Below are 17,781 nucleotides of genomic sequence, written 5' to 3'. Positions count from 1 at the left end.
AGTTTCATTTTTTATAGAGGGAGAATTAAGCTAAGTTATTCTGAAGGCCCCACTAGTCTATGTCCTCTGCAGAGATTGCCTGCATTTATAGTTATCATCTCTTAAGAAGATCATTTTAGTGCAAACCCCCAATTCTACTTGAATAATCTCAGTGGTGGGGTCCTCACCATCTGCCAAAACAGGAGTTGACCAAGTACAGTCCATAAGCCAGACTCTGCCCTCTGCCTGTTTTTGTAAACTAAGTTTTATTAGATCCCAGCCACATTCATTTGTTTTTTATCTAGCACTTTACAGAAAAAAAGTTTGCATGTGCTAAAACATCCTCCTAACTCTCCTGACCACTGGAAATCAGACAACCCTTTCTTTACTAAAAATTCTGTCTTTGATCAGAGAATCAAACCTAGTAGAGATAAGAAAGGCACTAGCATATTATCTGTTCTTAGATGTATGGTTCTCCTTTAATACACCTTGGGAAAACAAATGTCATCCTAACAAAGTCCTTCCTTGTACTTACCAGAAATTTGCCTATGCATGACTATTGCCCCTTGGGCTCAGCTCTGCACCCTAGAGTTCCAAAGGTCAATTTCTCTTCCACAAGGAAGCACTCTGGATAATTAGCTGGTAAAGATCTCCAGAAGGAGCCATCCTGATTCCTCCAAGATTTTCTCATGTGTGTTATGGCTTAGCATTTCTTTTCTTCTCCAGTAACCTGCCTTTGGAGATTTCAGTTTCTCTGTGCCACTTGTACTGTGGATACTAACCCTGAACACAAGGATACCAGTGTCCTAGGACTTCTGGACATTTTGTTCCAAGACTGGGTCCATACAGGGGCCACTTCATACCACTGACATTAGTTCCACTCTGAACATTTTACACATGCACTGCTGATGTTAAGCCACACCCTTCCCCGCTCCTGGAGCATAACTGAGTTTTAGTTCAATATATTGAGCCTTTGCATTTAAAATACAAAATTTGATCATTTACTTCAATCTACCCAGTTAGATTTGGATGTCAACATTGCACCCACTCTACCCAAATCAATCCCAGAATTGTGTTTACATTTATGCTTATTTCTCAATACTTACTCTTTCCACACCTGCTATTCCTGCAGGGCAATTGACAGTTGTCTGAACAAACCACATTTCCTCTTACTGTGCCCCTATTCACAAAGGCCTTTCTTTTTTTACCCAGTGAATTTCTCTTACCTGTCTTTCAGGCATCATATCCTCCAGAAAACCTTCCCCAACTCTTACAGGTAAGGTCATCAGCTCCTCTTATGTGTTGCTCATCCCCTTGAGTTTACCCCTTAACAGTATTTACTGTACTTTATAAACTTATTAACAAAAGGAATTGTGTCTTCTTTTCATGTATTTCCAATGTCTAGCACGGTGTTTTCACATCATAGACACTAAGTACATTTTATAAATTAATGAACAAATGAATGAAGGAGTTGATGTGGTTGAGAAAAGCCTAAAGCCCACTCTGAAGAATTTAACAATGAAGAGTGTGGAAGGTTTTTAAGTGGGTAACAGCCATTATGTAGTATAATCAGTTGAATTTTAGAAGGACAGTTAAAGCTGCTGTGAGTGGAGGCTGTGTCTACTGAAGGGACAGAGATTAGAGGTAGTGAATTCAAAAGCAGGATGAGTGGCACCACATAGTAGCAATGGAGCTGGAGAAAGGAGAGCAGAATTAGAGCAGTAGGCTGTGTACAGGACAGGCAGGACTTGTTGATGAGTCTAATGGAGAAGGTGAGGGCAACACATTCCTCCTGAATGACTCAATTCCAGCCAGAGTTAAGTTGCAATGTTAGTATGTGACTTAAAAAATACTATTCTGCCTCTATTCATTCTGTTAACAAGTAGCTTATTCCTAACTCTGGCTGATAATTCAGAATCACCTCAGGTGCTTATAAATAATACAGATTCTGGGGCCCCACCTGAGAGTCACTAAATCAGAATCATCTTAAAGCTCCCAGGTGATTCAAATCACCTGTCAAGTTTGGGAACTCCTGGCTCAAATGCCCACTTTGCCTGAAATGTCCTTCACTTTGTTCTTCTAAGCTTAGGCAGTTGTCTTTACCCGGTTGGGCTGAAAGTAACTTCTTCTTTTACTAACCCTCTGTACCCCTTATCTGGACTGACTCATAAGATAATTGATTTCTCCCTTTTGATGTGCTTATTTTCTTTACACACATTTTATCTCCTCATCTCTAGCATTTACAAACAGAGTAAGAGTGGGCAGTTTACTTAAACTATCTGAACTCAGTATCCTCATCTGTAAAATGGAGATAATACGATCTCCTCCCTAGGGCTATCATAAGATATCAAATGGAAAAGCAAGTAGCTCATGCGTGAAACAGACCAGGTGCTGAATAGATATTTGGACTCTCCACTCTTAGCTAAATGATAAACACTTTCTAGAGCAGAAGCATGTCTTACTTAGGTAGACATCTTTTGTATCTGGATGGAGTCTAGTCCAGCAACTTATGCTTACCAGGTAATCAGGGAATATTAAACTAATGGGGAATAAATGCAGAAATAAGGGAATGAATTGATCAATTGATGTAGAATAAATGGGTGAATGAAATACTTGATCTATAGTAACAAAAATTGATTTTTGAAAAATGACTACGTCTGTCTATAAATTACCGTCTCTGATTGTCTCTATGCTTAGGACGATTTAAAAATTCAGCTGCCTACATTTCACCCTAGAGCCACAAATCAAAATACTTGGCAATTGAGGACCCAAAAATCTGAATTGTAAAAGTTTCTCTCATTGATTCTGGCCACAGCCCATCTGGGAAAATCACTGCTTCAGAGAACCAGTAAGAGGCCACATTGCTTTGTTTAATGTAAAGAGATAGATTTTCTTGTTCTACAGTAGTTATTGAAAGTTTAATTCCAATTGACTGTTCAAAACATATCCATTAAAGTCCAACATCTGTTTAATAGGTATATCTTATTACACTCTTGTACTTAGGGCCACAGTCAAGACCTGACATAATCAGAGACACAGTTTAAACAAACTAATTACATAAGGGCACACAGAGGCTGAGCTGAGCAGGGGCCTTTGAACACAACATGTGCCTTTAATCAAAACCAGGCATCAGCGAAAACAAGATACTCCAAGCTGGAGCCAGGCAGCACACTGATGCTATAGCAGATGTTTCTAGGACCAGTCCAGTCCAGCAACTCTCTCAGCAGTACTATTGCTCCCACAACACCACCTCAAAACTTGACATTTCTTAGACCAAGCTGAGCACTTTCATTGACAGATGACAAGAGAAGGAAGGGATCTGGCAGAACAAGTCCCTCTGCATGCATTTCTCTGAAGCATGGGTGTTTGGGATTATTCTGAAGCATAGTTGCTTCTAAACAGATCTCCTGCATGGCTGAATGTATGGTTCCAACTCTTCATGAAAGCCTGGTACAATAATCACGTAGGTATTTGCTTTCATCTTTCCCAGCCCCACTTTATTTTTCCTTCACTCTCACTGCCTTGGATTTACACCTTCCCATAAAACATTAGCATTGGAACCTTGTCTCATGTTCTGTATTGGAGATATCCAGACTAAGATTCCAAGATCCAGGCACTTTTCTGTGCATTTTATACACAACATAAGCATAGATTCTTTTGACTTCAGTGTTTATATTCTTAACTACTACACAAAATTCTATTTTCCAAATAGTGACAGAACTTTCTGGATAGCATCAAAAATAGGAAGAACTGTTGGTAAAATTCTCCCAGCATGCTCACCTACATAATCTAAAGCACATAGATTTGAATCAGCCTAGTTAAGCCTGGTCCATAAGGGGCATGGCTTCTGTTCCACACACTCTGCTCACTTTAGCCAGGACTGCAGTTGTCAGGTGGAACCAGTTTCAAAAGGCACTTATCCACAGGCATGTCCTCCTGTCCTGCTAAACTAAGAGTTCCTAGAGGGAAAAATACATTGTACTTATCTTTGTCTTCCTGGGGTCCATTATAGATTAGTAAGTACCCATCTTAGTCCCTTCCTCCTGCTCTAAGAAAATACCTTAGACTAGCTAATTCATAAACAATAGAAATTTATCTCTTATAGTTCTACAGGCTAGGAAGTCCAAAATCAAGGAGCCAGCAGATTTAGTGTCTGATGAAAGCTTGACCTCTGCTTCAAAAGATGTCACCTTGTTGCTGTCTCCTCACATGGTAGAAAGGGCTAACATGTAACCTCAAGCCCTTTTCTAAGGGCACTAATTTCACTCATGAGAATGGAGCCCTCAAGACCTAATTACTCCTCAAAAGCACCACCTCTTAATACTATCACCTTCTGGGTTAGGTTTGAACATACACATTTTGGAGAGGCACAAGCATTCAGACGATAACATCACTGAATAAATATGTGAGGAATGAACTGTACAGTAAATTAATATACATAATATTTTAGAAAATATTAACTTTAGTGTTTATGACTACAACTTGATAATTAGTTAAAAATGAATAAACCACAGAATAGAATTTCCTCCAAAGCAACATAGAATTTAACTGTGGGCTCATGTAAGTATACCTATAAACATTCTGATATTAACCTCCAGCCCTTCAGTTGGCAAGAGCTGCCCTCCCTAGTCAGGCAGGGCACAGGTGAACATGGGCATCATCCTGACTTGCTGATCATCCTCTGGGTAGCCCCTCTCACTGGAATGAAACTGCTGATGTCACTTACCAAAATCCTCATTAACATATGTGCCAGGTTCAGAGTCAGTTTCAAAATGCCTCTGAAGTGTTTAAGAGTAATTGGCTTTGAAGTAGAGCAAGACCTCAAAAAGTTCATCCACTACCCCAAAACCTTTTAATGTGAAAGCATTTCCTGTATAGTGCTATTAAAAGTGACCCCTAGCTGAAGCTATTCTAGGATTTTCTTCTACCATGTGCTGCCTCCACTCCTTCTTTGGTATTCAAGTTCTTCCATGATGGACTCTCCCTCAAATGGTCACCTGCCCCTTCATGTCTCCTCTTCTTCCTGGCACTATCCTGACCTCTGCAAGGCCTTTCTCCTTAGTGTTTTTGCTCCCACTTCTGCCCTGGATAGATGTGTTTGCTCTGACCTAGAATGTCCTCCATCTTCCTCATCCCATTCCAAGCCTTACGCTGGAGCAAGCTCCAGGTTTATCTCCTACAGCATTCCTTTGTTGACTTGCTCCATATATATATATAGTGATCACGTATTCCAAAGTCACACAATTTCCCCAGGGAAAATCAGAGAATAAATGAATGTAAAGCTCTAAGGGTCTTCTTTTCATTCTAAGGCTTGGTATCTGATTCCAAAGACCCTTCAGTGTTTTGTTTTGGTTGGTTAGTTGGTTTTGTTTTCAGCTCCTCTTCCAGTTAAGTATCTTTAATTCAGCAAGCACATTTGTTCATTGCTGCTGTGTACTTGGAACTGTGCTCAGTGCTATGAGATTTGTACTAGAGGAAAATTCCCAAAAAATTATGCAATGGTTCTTTACACACATGCCCTCCACCTCTCACATACAACGACACAGTAGTTGCACCAGAACCCCAGCTCCCAAAGTCCCTTTTCTTTTGTAGATGACTCACAATTTCTCTCCCTCAGTGGTAAGGTGAAATACTCTTCTCCCTTATATCTGTAATATGATGACAAGTTGACTAGTTTTCTAAGTAAACACCACATAGTATTATGTAGCAGAACATCTGGGAAGGTATGGGGAAAGCCTTGTCTAAATGTTCAAGCTTAGAACTCCAAGTATCAACTAAGATCATTGGAAGATCTATTTGAAGGAAGAAATATGAAGATATGAGATATTGGGAAAATCACCTGCCCCTCTAAAATTTAGTTTAACCACCTGTGAAATGGAAACAACAACAATAAAAGTACAACTTTCCTTCAACTGCTTCACAAGTTTGTTGTGAGGAAAATAATAAGACAATGTGTGGCAAAAGTTCTAAGCAGATGAAAATTATTATATCACACCCAGAGTTCAGAAAGATAATTAGGCACCCACATTTTACCACAGGTTCAACTGTGATTAATGCATTTACTTTGGAAACTCTAAGAATTAATAACCATTTGCCATACATTCATTATGATCACATTAATCATTATAATTGATTGGTTAATTAGCTAATTATGGTTATAATGTAGATGTCATATGCATTTCCATGGGAATTTTTGGTAATTCAACATTAATTAACACCTGACCTTATCTTGATTCTAAACAGATCAAGAGAGAAACTGTCTAGCATTATTTTGATCAAATGGGGACTTCACAGGCAAATATAGTGAAGCAGGCATTATGATTTTCTGAATATTGTGCTTTAGCTCCGGAGCAGTAAAAATTTTGAAAAATCAAAAGCTTGGAGCCTTTTTCAGCAAGTACTTTAAAATTCTTCTCATTCCCTCTTTGTGCAAGACCCATACAGGAAACACAGGTCCATCTCTATTGTCCTTGCTCCTTAGAGCAAGATTTTTCTCAAAGAGGGATGGGGAGCATCTGACAGAAACAGGAAACAGTTATTGAAAACTAACTACCTGCCTACTGCCTTTCTAGGGATCACAGAAACACAAGAGGAATGACCCAGCCTCTGTCCCCAAGAACCTCACAATTCTCTGGAAGCTTCAAAAGTTGCTTTAAAAATGTAAACATTAGAGAATGCATGCTTTCAAGGATTTTTTTTAAATAAATGCTTAATTTTATTATTTGTTTATTTCTTTGATTTGTTATTGTCTGTAGTATTGGAAATATTTACAAAGTAATTTAAGGAAAATCAGGAGTTATTTTTAAATTAGAAAAAATAAGTCAATTGTTTGCTATGATGACTTGGGCAAAATACTTTATTTTGGAAACCCTCAAAATATGGAGGTTGGCTAAATTTAAATTAATTGAAAATTTGTAAGTATAGTAAATAAAGCAATTATACACAAGTTTTATGAATCCATAGATTGATGTTTGATACTTCTGGGTATATATTGTCCTAAAAGTGAAATATATTTAAAACATAAAATGTTAAATTAATAAAAATTTTCATATTCTGGTTTTCCTAGATGGTAAAATCAGATTAGACGTCACTGAAATTCAAGTCGCATAACATGACAAAATCCTTCAAATACAATGCCATGGAAGATTAATGGCTAAATCTCTAACTACCACTATTGCAAAGGTAAGTTTTAAAAATAATTTGAATGTTTCCATTAGTACAAATTTTAATTTCCTCCTAAGGCAGAAAGTTCAAATATAATTATGCATAATGCATTAACGGAAGAGTTCTGTGATTTTATTAAGTGATTAAGTGATTTGAGCCAATATTTCATTTTATTTTATTGTTTTCTAAAGAAAAGGTGAAAAAACTCTCCTAATACATTTCACACAGTCATAGTTAAATTAGAACTTGTTAGTAGGATTATATGGGGTGGTAGAAGGACATAGAATGAATTCACCCATGAAAGCTGACCAATATTATAGGCAAGAGGGAAGGAGAATCGTTTCCTTGAGAAGGAATTTGTATTTGCTCCAGTCTTCAGAGAAGCAAGTACCAATATAGGACTAGAAATGCAACAGCTTTATCAGTAGTAAAGGAGAGTGGGTTAGGGAAGGTGGAAAGAGCTTTCAGACTGTAATGCTGGTCTGATACCTATGAAAGATTGTAGGAAGAAGGGAGGCTTAGGTCACAAGGATCTCATACTGCTGAACAATTCTAGGAGAATTCCACTTAAATTCATAGATTACAAGAACAAGAATCCATTCCAACACCCTCTTCACCATGAGAAGTTGGTCTCTTCATAATGCTGTGTGGATGCCGTGTTGCATGGAATTCCATGCCTTTGGATCAGCCATTACATACTCTGCCCCTGCAGAGTGGTGCTGGCTCAAGCTCTGCAGGCAGGAAAGGCAAACTCATATTCAGAGTAGGTGTCTGTCCCCACAAGGACTATTGGCTGACCTTTCCAAGGTGCAAGAAGCCACTTGAGGTGGACTTGCTACCAAATGACTGGTTGGACTCTCCAAGAAATAGTGCCATATTAGGTGCTTATTGTTGATTACTATTGCGAACATGCTAACTATCCAGGGACAGCAGCATTTGAATTGGCTGGAAAAAGTGAAAGCCCATGCCATTGGGCCCATAGTAGCCTCCATCTCTGCACTATGGCCACTCTGCCCATGTGCTCATTGTATCAGTCCTGGGGTGGCTCACGATGAAAGCTACCTAATGTCACTGAGTCATTCTGTCTACTTGGTTGTTCAGTGCCTCTTTCACAGTAACATTTTCTAGTGAGATGAGGAATGAAACAAATGTTATTCCCTTTCCTGCTATTCCCACATGTCTATCCATGTACTTCTACCTCTGACTTTCTTGCCCCAATCTTCCAGTCTTTTTCCTTCTAGGCTGCTGACCACATGGCCAAGCCATCGACCACAGCCTCAGAATCAAGATATAGTCTCACCTTGGGATACTTCTCTTTCCACACAAAGTAAACTATTGGATAATCATGTTATGGGCTAAATTGTGTTCCCACAAAATTCATATGTTGAAGTCCCAGCCAAAAGTTCCTCAGAATGCTGTCATATTTGGAGATAAGGTCTTTAACAAGGTAATTAAGTTACAATAGAGTATTTAGGGTGAACTCAAATCCAAAATGACTGATGTCTTTATAAGAAGAAGACATTTAGACGTGTAGAGAGATAACAGGAATGTGCACATGGAGGAAAAACCATGTGAGGACACAGAAGGGGGGGGTCTGTAAGCCAAGAGGAGATGTCTCAGAAAAAAAATAAACCTGTCAATACCACACCTTGATCTTGGACTTCTGGCCTCCAAAACTGTGAGGAAATAAATTTATGTTGTTTAAGCCACCTAGTCTGAGGCGTTTTGCAATGAGAGCCCTAGGAATTAATGCCAACTGCTTCAATCTCCACCTACTGGGAAGATTTTTTCCCTTTCTACCATCTGTGTAGAATCATTCCCTTGACATTTTTACAACATGTAAATCATGGCACTGCAAGAGTGTTCCTTCCACTAAGACACTATTTCCCAGGTCACCACTTGAGATCTTCAGCAATTGTGCTGCCAACTTATGCCAGAGACTATGTCTGTCCCCACATACCATCTCTGATAATATCCTCTTTGCCAGCAGTATGGTAGTCCCCAGTGAGTGAGACTGCAGCAAAGAGGTATGACAAGGTGCCACATTCGTGTCCTATCATTGAGAGGACACTAATGGCACCATATCCAAATGACATTTACTGCTAAGTCCTGGTAAGCCTCAGGGCAGGGTCTTGATTCTTGTGAGACACCAAAGCAGCAGGGAGACACATGAGGATGACTTCTTTGAAATGCCTCTTCCTTTGTTCTTTCGTCATCTAGGATTAGATGTTTGGCAGGAAGAGAGAGAATGAATGAGAATGAATCATTGAACTCCCTCTTAGCTCAGGGAAACGTTTTATTGGATTTGTTTCACTCTGATGTGGATTAAGCCCATGGGGCAGAACAGGCCAGGGAGTGAATGTGTGGGCTGGGGAGGGGATATAGGGTCTCCCCATGGTAGCTGCAGCCATGTTTATAATTTATTATTAACAATCTCTTCTGTGCCATTGTCTGCTGACCCTTCCAGGGGGTCAGGTCCTGGTGCCAAGACTGTGGTTCATCCAGGCAGATCAGACAGAACATTTTATTTACTTGCTTCTTTCCTTAAAGCTATCATGACTCAACCTGGCCCAAGGCAGAAAAAGTTTATTTGACCTTGATTGAAACAGTGAACTTTGGGAGAACTCAGAGTTAGACTACTGGCCACATGTGCTTTCCTCATCATCTGATCAGTTGGCAAGAACTTGGTAGAAAAGCCAATTCATATATTTGATGCCATAGCCTTGTTCTAAGAACCTAAATAGACATTTTTTTAAAATGCTGATCATCTAAGTGTTTCAGATGTAGTGTTATGCTCCCTGAGTTTCTTAATCTTTCTTTGGCTGAGGATCTCCTAGGTGTCCAATGCTGTATCAAGTGCTATAGATAAAACCATGAAAACAGCCGTCAAGACCTCTACTCTTGGTGATGGGAAGGTAAGGAGTGGAGATCAGCACTATCAAACTAAAACTAAAGTACAATAATTTCAAATCATGTTATGTGCTATGAGGAAAGTGAAAGAATGAGAAATGACTCATGTTCTCAAATTTAAGCTTTCAAATCATTACCTTAGGCAAATGCTAATATTTCCATGTTAGCATTTGCCTAAAGTAATGAGGGAAAGGATGTTCGAAAAGGTTAACTTGCCCAAGTTCCAGTTGCTCCCAACATGACATCAAAACTTTTGAACATAAACTAATATTTGAGCTAATATGCTATATTAGTCAATTTTCACACTTCCATGAAGAAATACCCAAGACTGTTAATTTATAAAGAAAAGAGGTTTAATTGAGTCACAGTTCTGCATGGCTGGGGAGGTCTCAGGAAACTTATAATCATGGTGGAAGGCAAAGAAAAAGCAGGCCTCTTCTTCACAGGGTAGCAGGACTGAGTGAGTGCAAGCAGGGGAAATGCAGACACTTATAAAATCATCAGATCTCATGAGACTCACTCACTATCACGAGAACAGCATGATGGGGGAAACCACCCCCATAATTCAATTACTGTCCATGACACATGGGCATTATGGGAAGTACAATTCAAGATAAGATTTAAGTAGAGACACAGCAAAACCATATCATCTGCTAACCTAACTTATGCCAAAATTGAGTAAAAACATTTTAGCCAAGCCCCCAAAATACTTTGTGAGTCCATTCTTCCTGATCCTTCCCTTGCATGCATGTTACAGCCAAATCACTTTCTTATGTTTATTGTTGTTGTTGTTTTTGAGAGAGCGTCTCACTCTGTCACCCGGGCTGGAGTGCAATGGCACAACCACAGCTCACTGGAACCTCCACCTCCTGCCTCAGCCTCCCGATTAGCTGGGACCACAGGCATGTGCCACCATGCCCAGCTGATTTTTTGTATACTTTTTTGTATTTTTGTACAGACAGGCTTTTGCCATGTTGCCCAGGCTGTTCTCGAACTCCTTACCTCAAGTGATCTACCCGCCTTGGCCTCCCTAAGTGCTGGGATTACAGGCATAAGCCACAGCGCCTGGCCTCTTTTGTTTGTTTTGTCTGAGGGGGAGGGCTGGCTTCTTTCATCCAGTACAATTACTTTGGCATTCATGGTTGTTGTCACATGTATCAAGTTTATTCCTTGTTATTAATGAGTAGTATGCCATTATATTAATTTATCACTTTGTTTATTTGTCTCTTGATGGGCTTTTAGATTATTTCTTATTTTTGGTGGTTACAAGTTAAGCTTATGTCAACATTTGTGTACACACCTTTGTAAAGACTTAAGATTTTATTTCCCATGGGAAAATGTTTAGGAGTGAAACGGCTGGATCATATGATAACATATTTTTAACTTTTTAAGAAATTGCCAAACCATTTTCTAAAGGGGTTGTACCAATTTACACCACTACTAGTGGTGTATGAGAGTTCCAGTACCTCTGTGTTCTCACCAACTCTTGATAGGGTAATTTTCAGGTTAGCCATTTAATAAAAGTGTAGTGGTACTGTGGTTTTAATTTGCAATTTTCTCTTTTTTTTTTTTTTTTTTTTTTTGGCAGGGGGACAGAGTCTCGCACTGTCACCCAGGCTGGAATGCAGTGGTATGATCTCGGCTGACTGCAACCTCTGCCTCCCAGATTCAAGCAATTATCCTGTCTCAGCCTCCCGAGTAGCTGGGATTACAGGCGCCTGCCACCACGCCCGGCTAATTTTTTGTAGTTTTAGTAGAGAGAGGTTTTCACTATGTTGGCCAGGCTGATCTTGAACGCCTGAACTCATGATCCACCCACCTCAGCCTCCCAAAGTGCTGGGGTTACAGGCGTGAACCACCCCGCCCAGCCAAGTTTGCAAATAATATAACTGATAATGAAATTTATCTAGAATATATAATAAAGAAATAATAATGAGGAAGAGAAGAAGAAGGAGGAGGAAGAGGGAAAGGAAAATAAAAGGAGGGGAAAAACAAACAGCTTAGTAAAAAAGAGAGCCATATTTGAACAGACCCTTTATTAAAGAAGATATATGGATGGGAAGTAAGCTCATGAAAAGGTGCTTAACATCCTTAGTCATTTGCAAACTTATTTTTTCCAGTCTGTGGCTTATTTGTTGATTCTATATTAACAGTGTTTTTTGGAGAGAAGTTTTTTTTTATTTTCATAAAGTCTAATTTGTCAATATGCTCTATACATCATGTACTTGATGTCATATCTATGAAATATTTGACTAATCCAGGGTCATGCAGATATTCCTTTATTTTTTCCATAAGCTTAACAGTTTTATATTAAATAAAATTTATTTTTATATATTGACTTGTTTCCTGAAACTTTGCTGAACTTGTTTATGAGTTCTAGTATTTTTGTGGGTTCCTTAGGATTAAGTAATCTGCAAATAATGATAGTTTTGATTCTCCCTCTCCAATTTGGATGCATTTTCTCTTTCTCGCCTAGTTGTCAAGACAAGAACCTCTAAGCTAATGCTGAAAAAAGGGGGAGAGCAAACGTCTTTGCCTTGCTCCAGCTCTCAGCAAAAAACATTCAGTCTTGTACCATTAAATATGATGTCACCTGTAGATTTTGAATAGATGTTGTTTATTAGGTCTTGGAATTTCTCTTCTATTTCCAGTTTGCTAAGAGTTTTTAACAAGGATGACCATTGCATTTTGTCAAATATTTTTTATGTCTATTGAGATGATCATATGACTTTTCTCTGTCTTAGTTTGTTAATATAGCGAATTGCAGAGGTTGGCTTTCAAATTTTAAACCAATGTTACATTTCTGGGATAAACTCCTCTTGGACTTCTGTGTGTGTGTGTATATATATATATATATATGTCTGTGTGTGTGTGTGTGTGTGTGTGTAAAATTGGATATAGTATAGCCAACTATTTATATTGGATATACTATATCTATTAAATAAATATGTATATAGTTAGATATAGTATATCCAATATAAATTTAATGTGTGTATATATCTCCCTCCAACTATTTATATATAGAGAGAGAGAGAGAGTTCAATTCAGTTAGATAAAATTTTGTTGATAATTTTAAAATCTATATTTATGAGGGAGATTGGTGTGTAGTTTTTCTTGTAATGTCTTTGTCTAGTTTTGATATCAGAATAATGCTGGCCTCATAGAATCAGTTGAGAAACACGCCTTCCTCTTCACATGTCTGGAGTAGGCTACTTGAAGTTGTCTCACAGCTCACTGATAATTTTAGAATTTAATTATTTTCTCTCTGTATGTTTCACTTTGGATAGTTTCTATTGCTATGTGTAAATGCTCGCTAAAATTTTCTTCTGCAATATCTAATCTACTATTAATCTCATCCAGTATAATTTCAATTCCTAAATTATAGTTGTTATCTATAGAACTCCAATTTGGTTCACTTTTTTAAAATCTTCCATGCCTCTACTTATCTTTGAAAACATATGGAATACAATTATCATAACTGTTTTAATGTTTACGCTTATTTTAACATGTATCAGTTCTGGTACAGTTTCAGTTGATTGATTTTCTCCTAATCATGGATCTTATTTTGCACTTTGCATTTGTGGTAATCTCTGATTTAATGTATAGCGTTGTCACTTTTACCTTGTTGGGTATAAATATTCTTTAGTTTTGTTCTGAGATACAGTTAAGTTACTTGGAAACAATTTGGTCCGTTTGGGTCTTGCTTCTAAGAAGTGTTAGGTAGAATCAAAGCAGTAGTCATTATAGGGCTAATTATTCCCCACTACTGAGGCAAGACCCTTTTGGGTACTTTACCTAATGCCCCATGAATCATGAGGTTTTCCAGTCTTACTGGTTGGAGCAGGCATTATTCCCAACACTGTGTGAGCACAGGACACTCCTAACTCTAAGTCCTCTTCACAAGCACATGTAGTAATCCCTGTTAGCTGAAAGCTTGACAGAAGCCCTCTGCAGATATTCAATGTTCTCTCACTCTCTGCAGCTTTTGCCTCCCCAGTACTCTGTTCTGCCAATACCAGCTGCCTTCATCTGCATGGATCTCTCAGATCTGTTTCCTTGGCTTCAGGGGCCTGTCAGGCTCCACTTGGATTCCCTTTCTCTGCACTATAGCCTGGTAATTTTAAAAAATATTTTCATAAATATTCTTTATCTTTGTTCTGGAATGTAGTTAAATTTCTTGAAAACAATTTAGTCCTATTGGGTTTTGATTCTATTGTTAGTTACGATTAGAGTAGTACTTACTATAGGGCTGATTATTCACTAGACAGGAAGCTAGAATTGTAAGCCTGGTCTTGTTTGTTACCACCAGGGATTAGGCTTTTGTTATTGCTTTTCCATGTCTTTTAAACCATTACTTCATATATTTTGTTTGGGTTTTATGGGGGTTGTTTTAGTAGAAAGAATAAATGCAGCCCTTAATACATCTAAGCCCAAAACAGAGATTCTCTCTCCTCTTTCTCTTCAAACAAAAACAAGATAAAGCAGAAACCCAAAGCTTTGCACAGGCAAGTAAATATGGCTAGAATTCAATAACTTTGCTTTGTTTGCTTGGTATTTGTTTTGTGGCTAATTTATTTATAACAGTCAATTTTGCTTTCCCATTAACGGAAGTACCAAAAAGTCCCATTGTTAAATAAATTTGTTTAAGTTTAAAAAGTAAATCAATTTACCAAAAAAAAAAAAAAAAAAAAGTAAGTAAACAGGAGGACAAATACTAAGCAGAGAAAGCAAATAACTTTTGCTAGGGGAGTGAGGGAATGACTGAAGTTAGGAGAATGCTGGTCTTTTGGCCCAAGCTTTCCAACCTGAACCCCAGCCTGGTCTACTCTTTTTCAGGTGGATTCCTCCTTCCTAGTCTTTGAGTGGCCTTTTTCATTACCTTTGTCCCCAGCTTAAGCTGATTTCTCTAATCGCAATTGTCATAGTCTAGTGATATGTCATCCCAGGCATCTGCCTCCTTCGCTTTCCTATAAACCTGGGCCATCTAGTTCAGTAGCCACTAGCTACAGGTGGATATTGAGTCCCTGAAATGTGGCTAGTCTGACTTCAGATATGTCATAAGTGAAAAATACCCACTGGATTTAGAAGACAGGGTGAAAAATACACACTGGATTTTGAAGACAGGATGAAAAGGAATTTAAAGTATCTCATCAATAATGTTTTTATTGAGTACATGTTGAAAGAAGAATGTAAGATATATTTGATGAAATAAATTATACCATTAAAATTAATTTGAACCTTTTCTTTACCTTTTTTTAATAAGGTGACTACCAGAAATTTTGAAATTATAACCAGGCATGGTGGTTCACAACTGTAATCCTATCACTTTGGGAGACTGAGGTAGGAGGATCACTTGAAGCCAGGAGTTTTAGACCAGCTTGAGCAACAAAGTGAGACCCCATCTCTAACAAAAACAGTATACATACTGGCCAGGCGCAGTGGCTCACGCCTGTAATCCCAGCACTTTAGGAGGCCAAGGCAGGCAGATCACTTGAGGCCAGGAGTTTGAGACCAGCCTGGCCAACATGGTGAAGCCCTGCCTCTACTAAAAATACAAAAACTAGCTGGGCATGGTGGTTCATGGGTGTGGTCCCAGCTACTTGGGAGGGTGAGACATGAGAATCGCCTGAACCTTGGAGGCAGTGGTTGCAGTGAGCTGAGATCACACCACTGCACTCCAGCCTCAGCAACAGAGAGAGACTCTGTCTCAAAAATAAAGAAATAAAATAAAATAAATAAAAATAAAGAATAAAAAAATATCCAGATGTGGTGACATATGCCTATAGCCCCAGTACTTTGGGAGACCAAGGTGGAAGGATTGCTTGAAGCCAGGAGTTTGAGACCAGCCTGGACAACAAAAGAAACCCCCATATCTATCTATCTCTCTCTCTCTCTCTCTCTCTCTCTCTCTCTCTCTCTCTCTCTCTCTCTATATATATATATATATATATATATATATATATATATATATATATACACACACACACATACATATATTGCCAGGAAGGTGGCACACGCCTGTAGTCTCAGCTACTTGGGAGCTTAAGGTGGAGGATGACTTGAGCCCAAGAGTTTGAGGCTATGAAGGTGCCACTGCACCGCAGCCTGTGCAACAGACCAAAACCAAATTTTTGGTTAAATTTAATTTAACCAAAAAACTAATTTTTTTTAAAAAAGGAAAGTTGAAATTTTATATGCAGCTTGCCTTTGTGATTTACATTGTATTTCTATTAGGCAGTACTGCTATAGATGCATCATCTGTCTATGCATCCTAGCTCCCAGAATAAAGAATGACAGATGCTTATCAAATGCCTGTAGGATATTAGCATTGAATGAATACTTGAGTGAGTGACTTTAACTGGATTGGGAATTCAAAGACTGAATGTTGAAGACTGGGAGGCAGCCTCTGTTACTTTGTCCAGTAACAGGAATACTAATAAAACATATCTCATAGAGATAGGGAAGATAAAATAAGACAATTTATTGAGAACTCTTAACACTGGGCCTGGCTCAATGGATGTACTCAAGAGAAGTTAGCCATTAAGGGAAAATTGTCTTCACTTAGTATCACGCCATGTGGACAAAGCCATGGCAGCTGTGTACAAGGATTAAGAGAAAAGGCTGTTTTTAGTGAGTTTTCTCTTATTTATTATGCAAATACACTTCAGACACTTTACATGGCTTATGTATAAGGGCTCCAGCACTATGGCTTATAACACCCTTCACCCCAAGCCCATGGACCTTAGTTATTGGTGTTCTGATAGCTTGCTACTTATAAGCCAAGGGGCGTGTGTGTGTGTGTGTGTGTGTATCAGTAAAACACTTTCTTCCAGGTCTTATCTTATTGCTAAGAATAATGTACTTGTAAATTGCTTTATAAATTATTTATTACGAGGGGCTTCATCACTGAACAAGTGCTACAACATACAGTGAAAATGGGGGGCAGGAGGATGGCAGTGAAGGAGGGAGAGAAGAAGGCATTGGAATCACTTATAAATAATATATTCTTTGGTCAAAGAAAGTTATCGCCTTTTATGAAGTGTTTGGAAGTCGTCTTGCATACTAAGTGGGCATCCTTTTGCTGACTCCTGAGTGATCAGCTATAGCCTCCTTTGCTGCTCCATCTCTGAACTTGGTGATTAGGATGCCATTTATTTATTTCAGCCAATGCCACAATTGCCACATCTCATCACCTGGAAATAAACAGCAAACAGGGCTGACCGGTACCGCTGAGGAAACGCAAAGATGTGTTGGCAAGTCCTCGAAGCGAAATCTGTGTCCCTGCGTTGGGCTCTGCATTTGGTATTCATCATGTAAGTGCTGTGCCTAATGAAGGCATTTGGTATTCATGTGGGTGTCACATGTATTTCCAGGGACGCTGGGCTCTAATTTAGCACAGGTTAATGGACACCTCTATTAAAGGGTTATCGAAAGTTTGACATTCAAATAACCCAGTTTTAAAATCAGAGAAACCTAGACGTTAAATCTGAAGGAGAGAAACTGTGAGAGAAGTCAAGTATATAAATGCCAACTTTAGACATTTGAGAGCAACCAATGGTTGATCCAAGTGCCTCTTCCCCTTTCACCTACCCTGACCCCTCCTGGGCCTAGGCTTTGGCATATTCCCTGACAGCTGCAGGCCGAAATCTTGCAGACTGGGGAGGTCAGGGAGAGAAGGAAGGGCACGCTTGTATTAAATGAATGGTGTCCCTCACCTCCTAAAATCTC

Source organism: Homo sapiens, chromosome 20, assembly GCF_000001405.40.
Source record: "Homo sapiens chromosome 20, GRCh38.p14 Primary Assembly".
Lineage (NCBI taxonomy): Eukaryota > Metazoa > Chordata > Mammalia > Primates > Hominidae > Homo > Homo sapiens.
Note: the sequence above shows the minus strand (reverse complement) of the source record.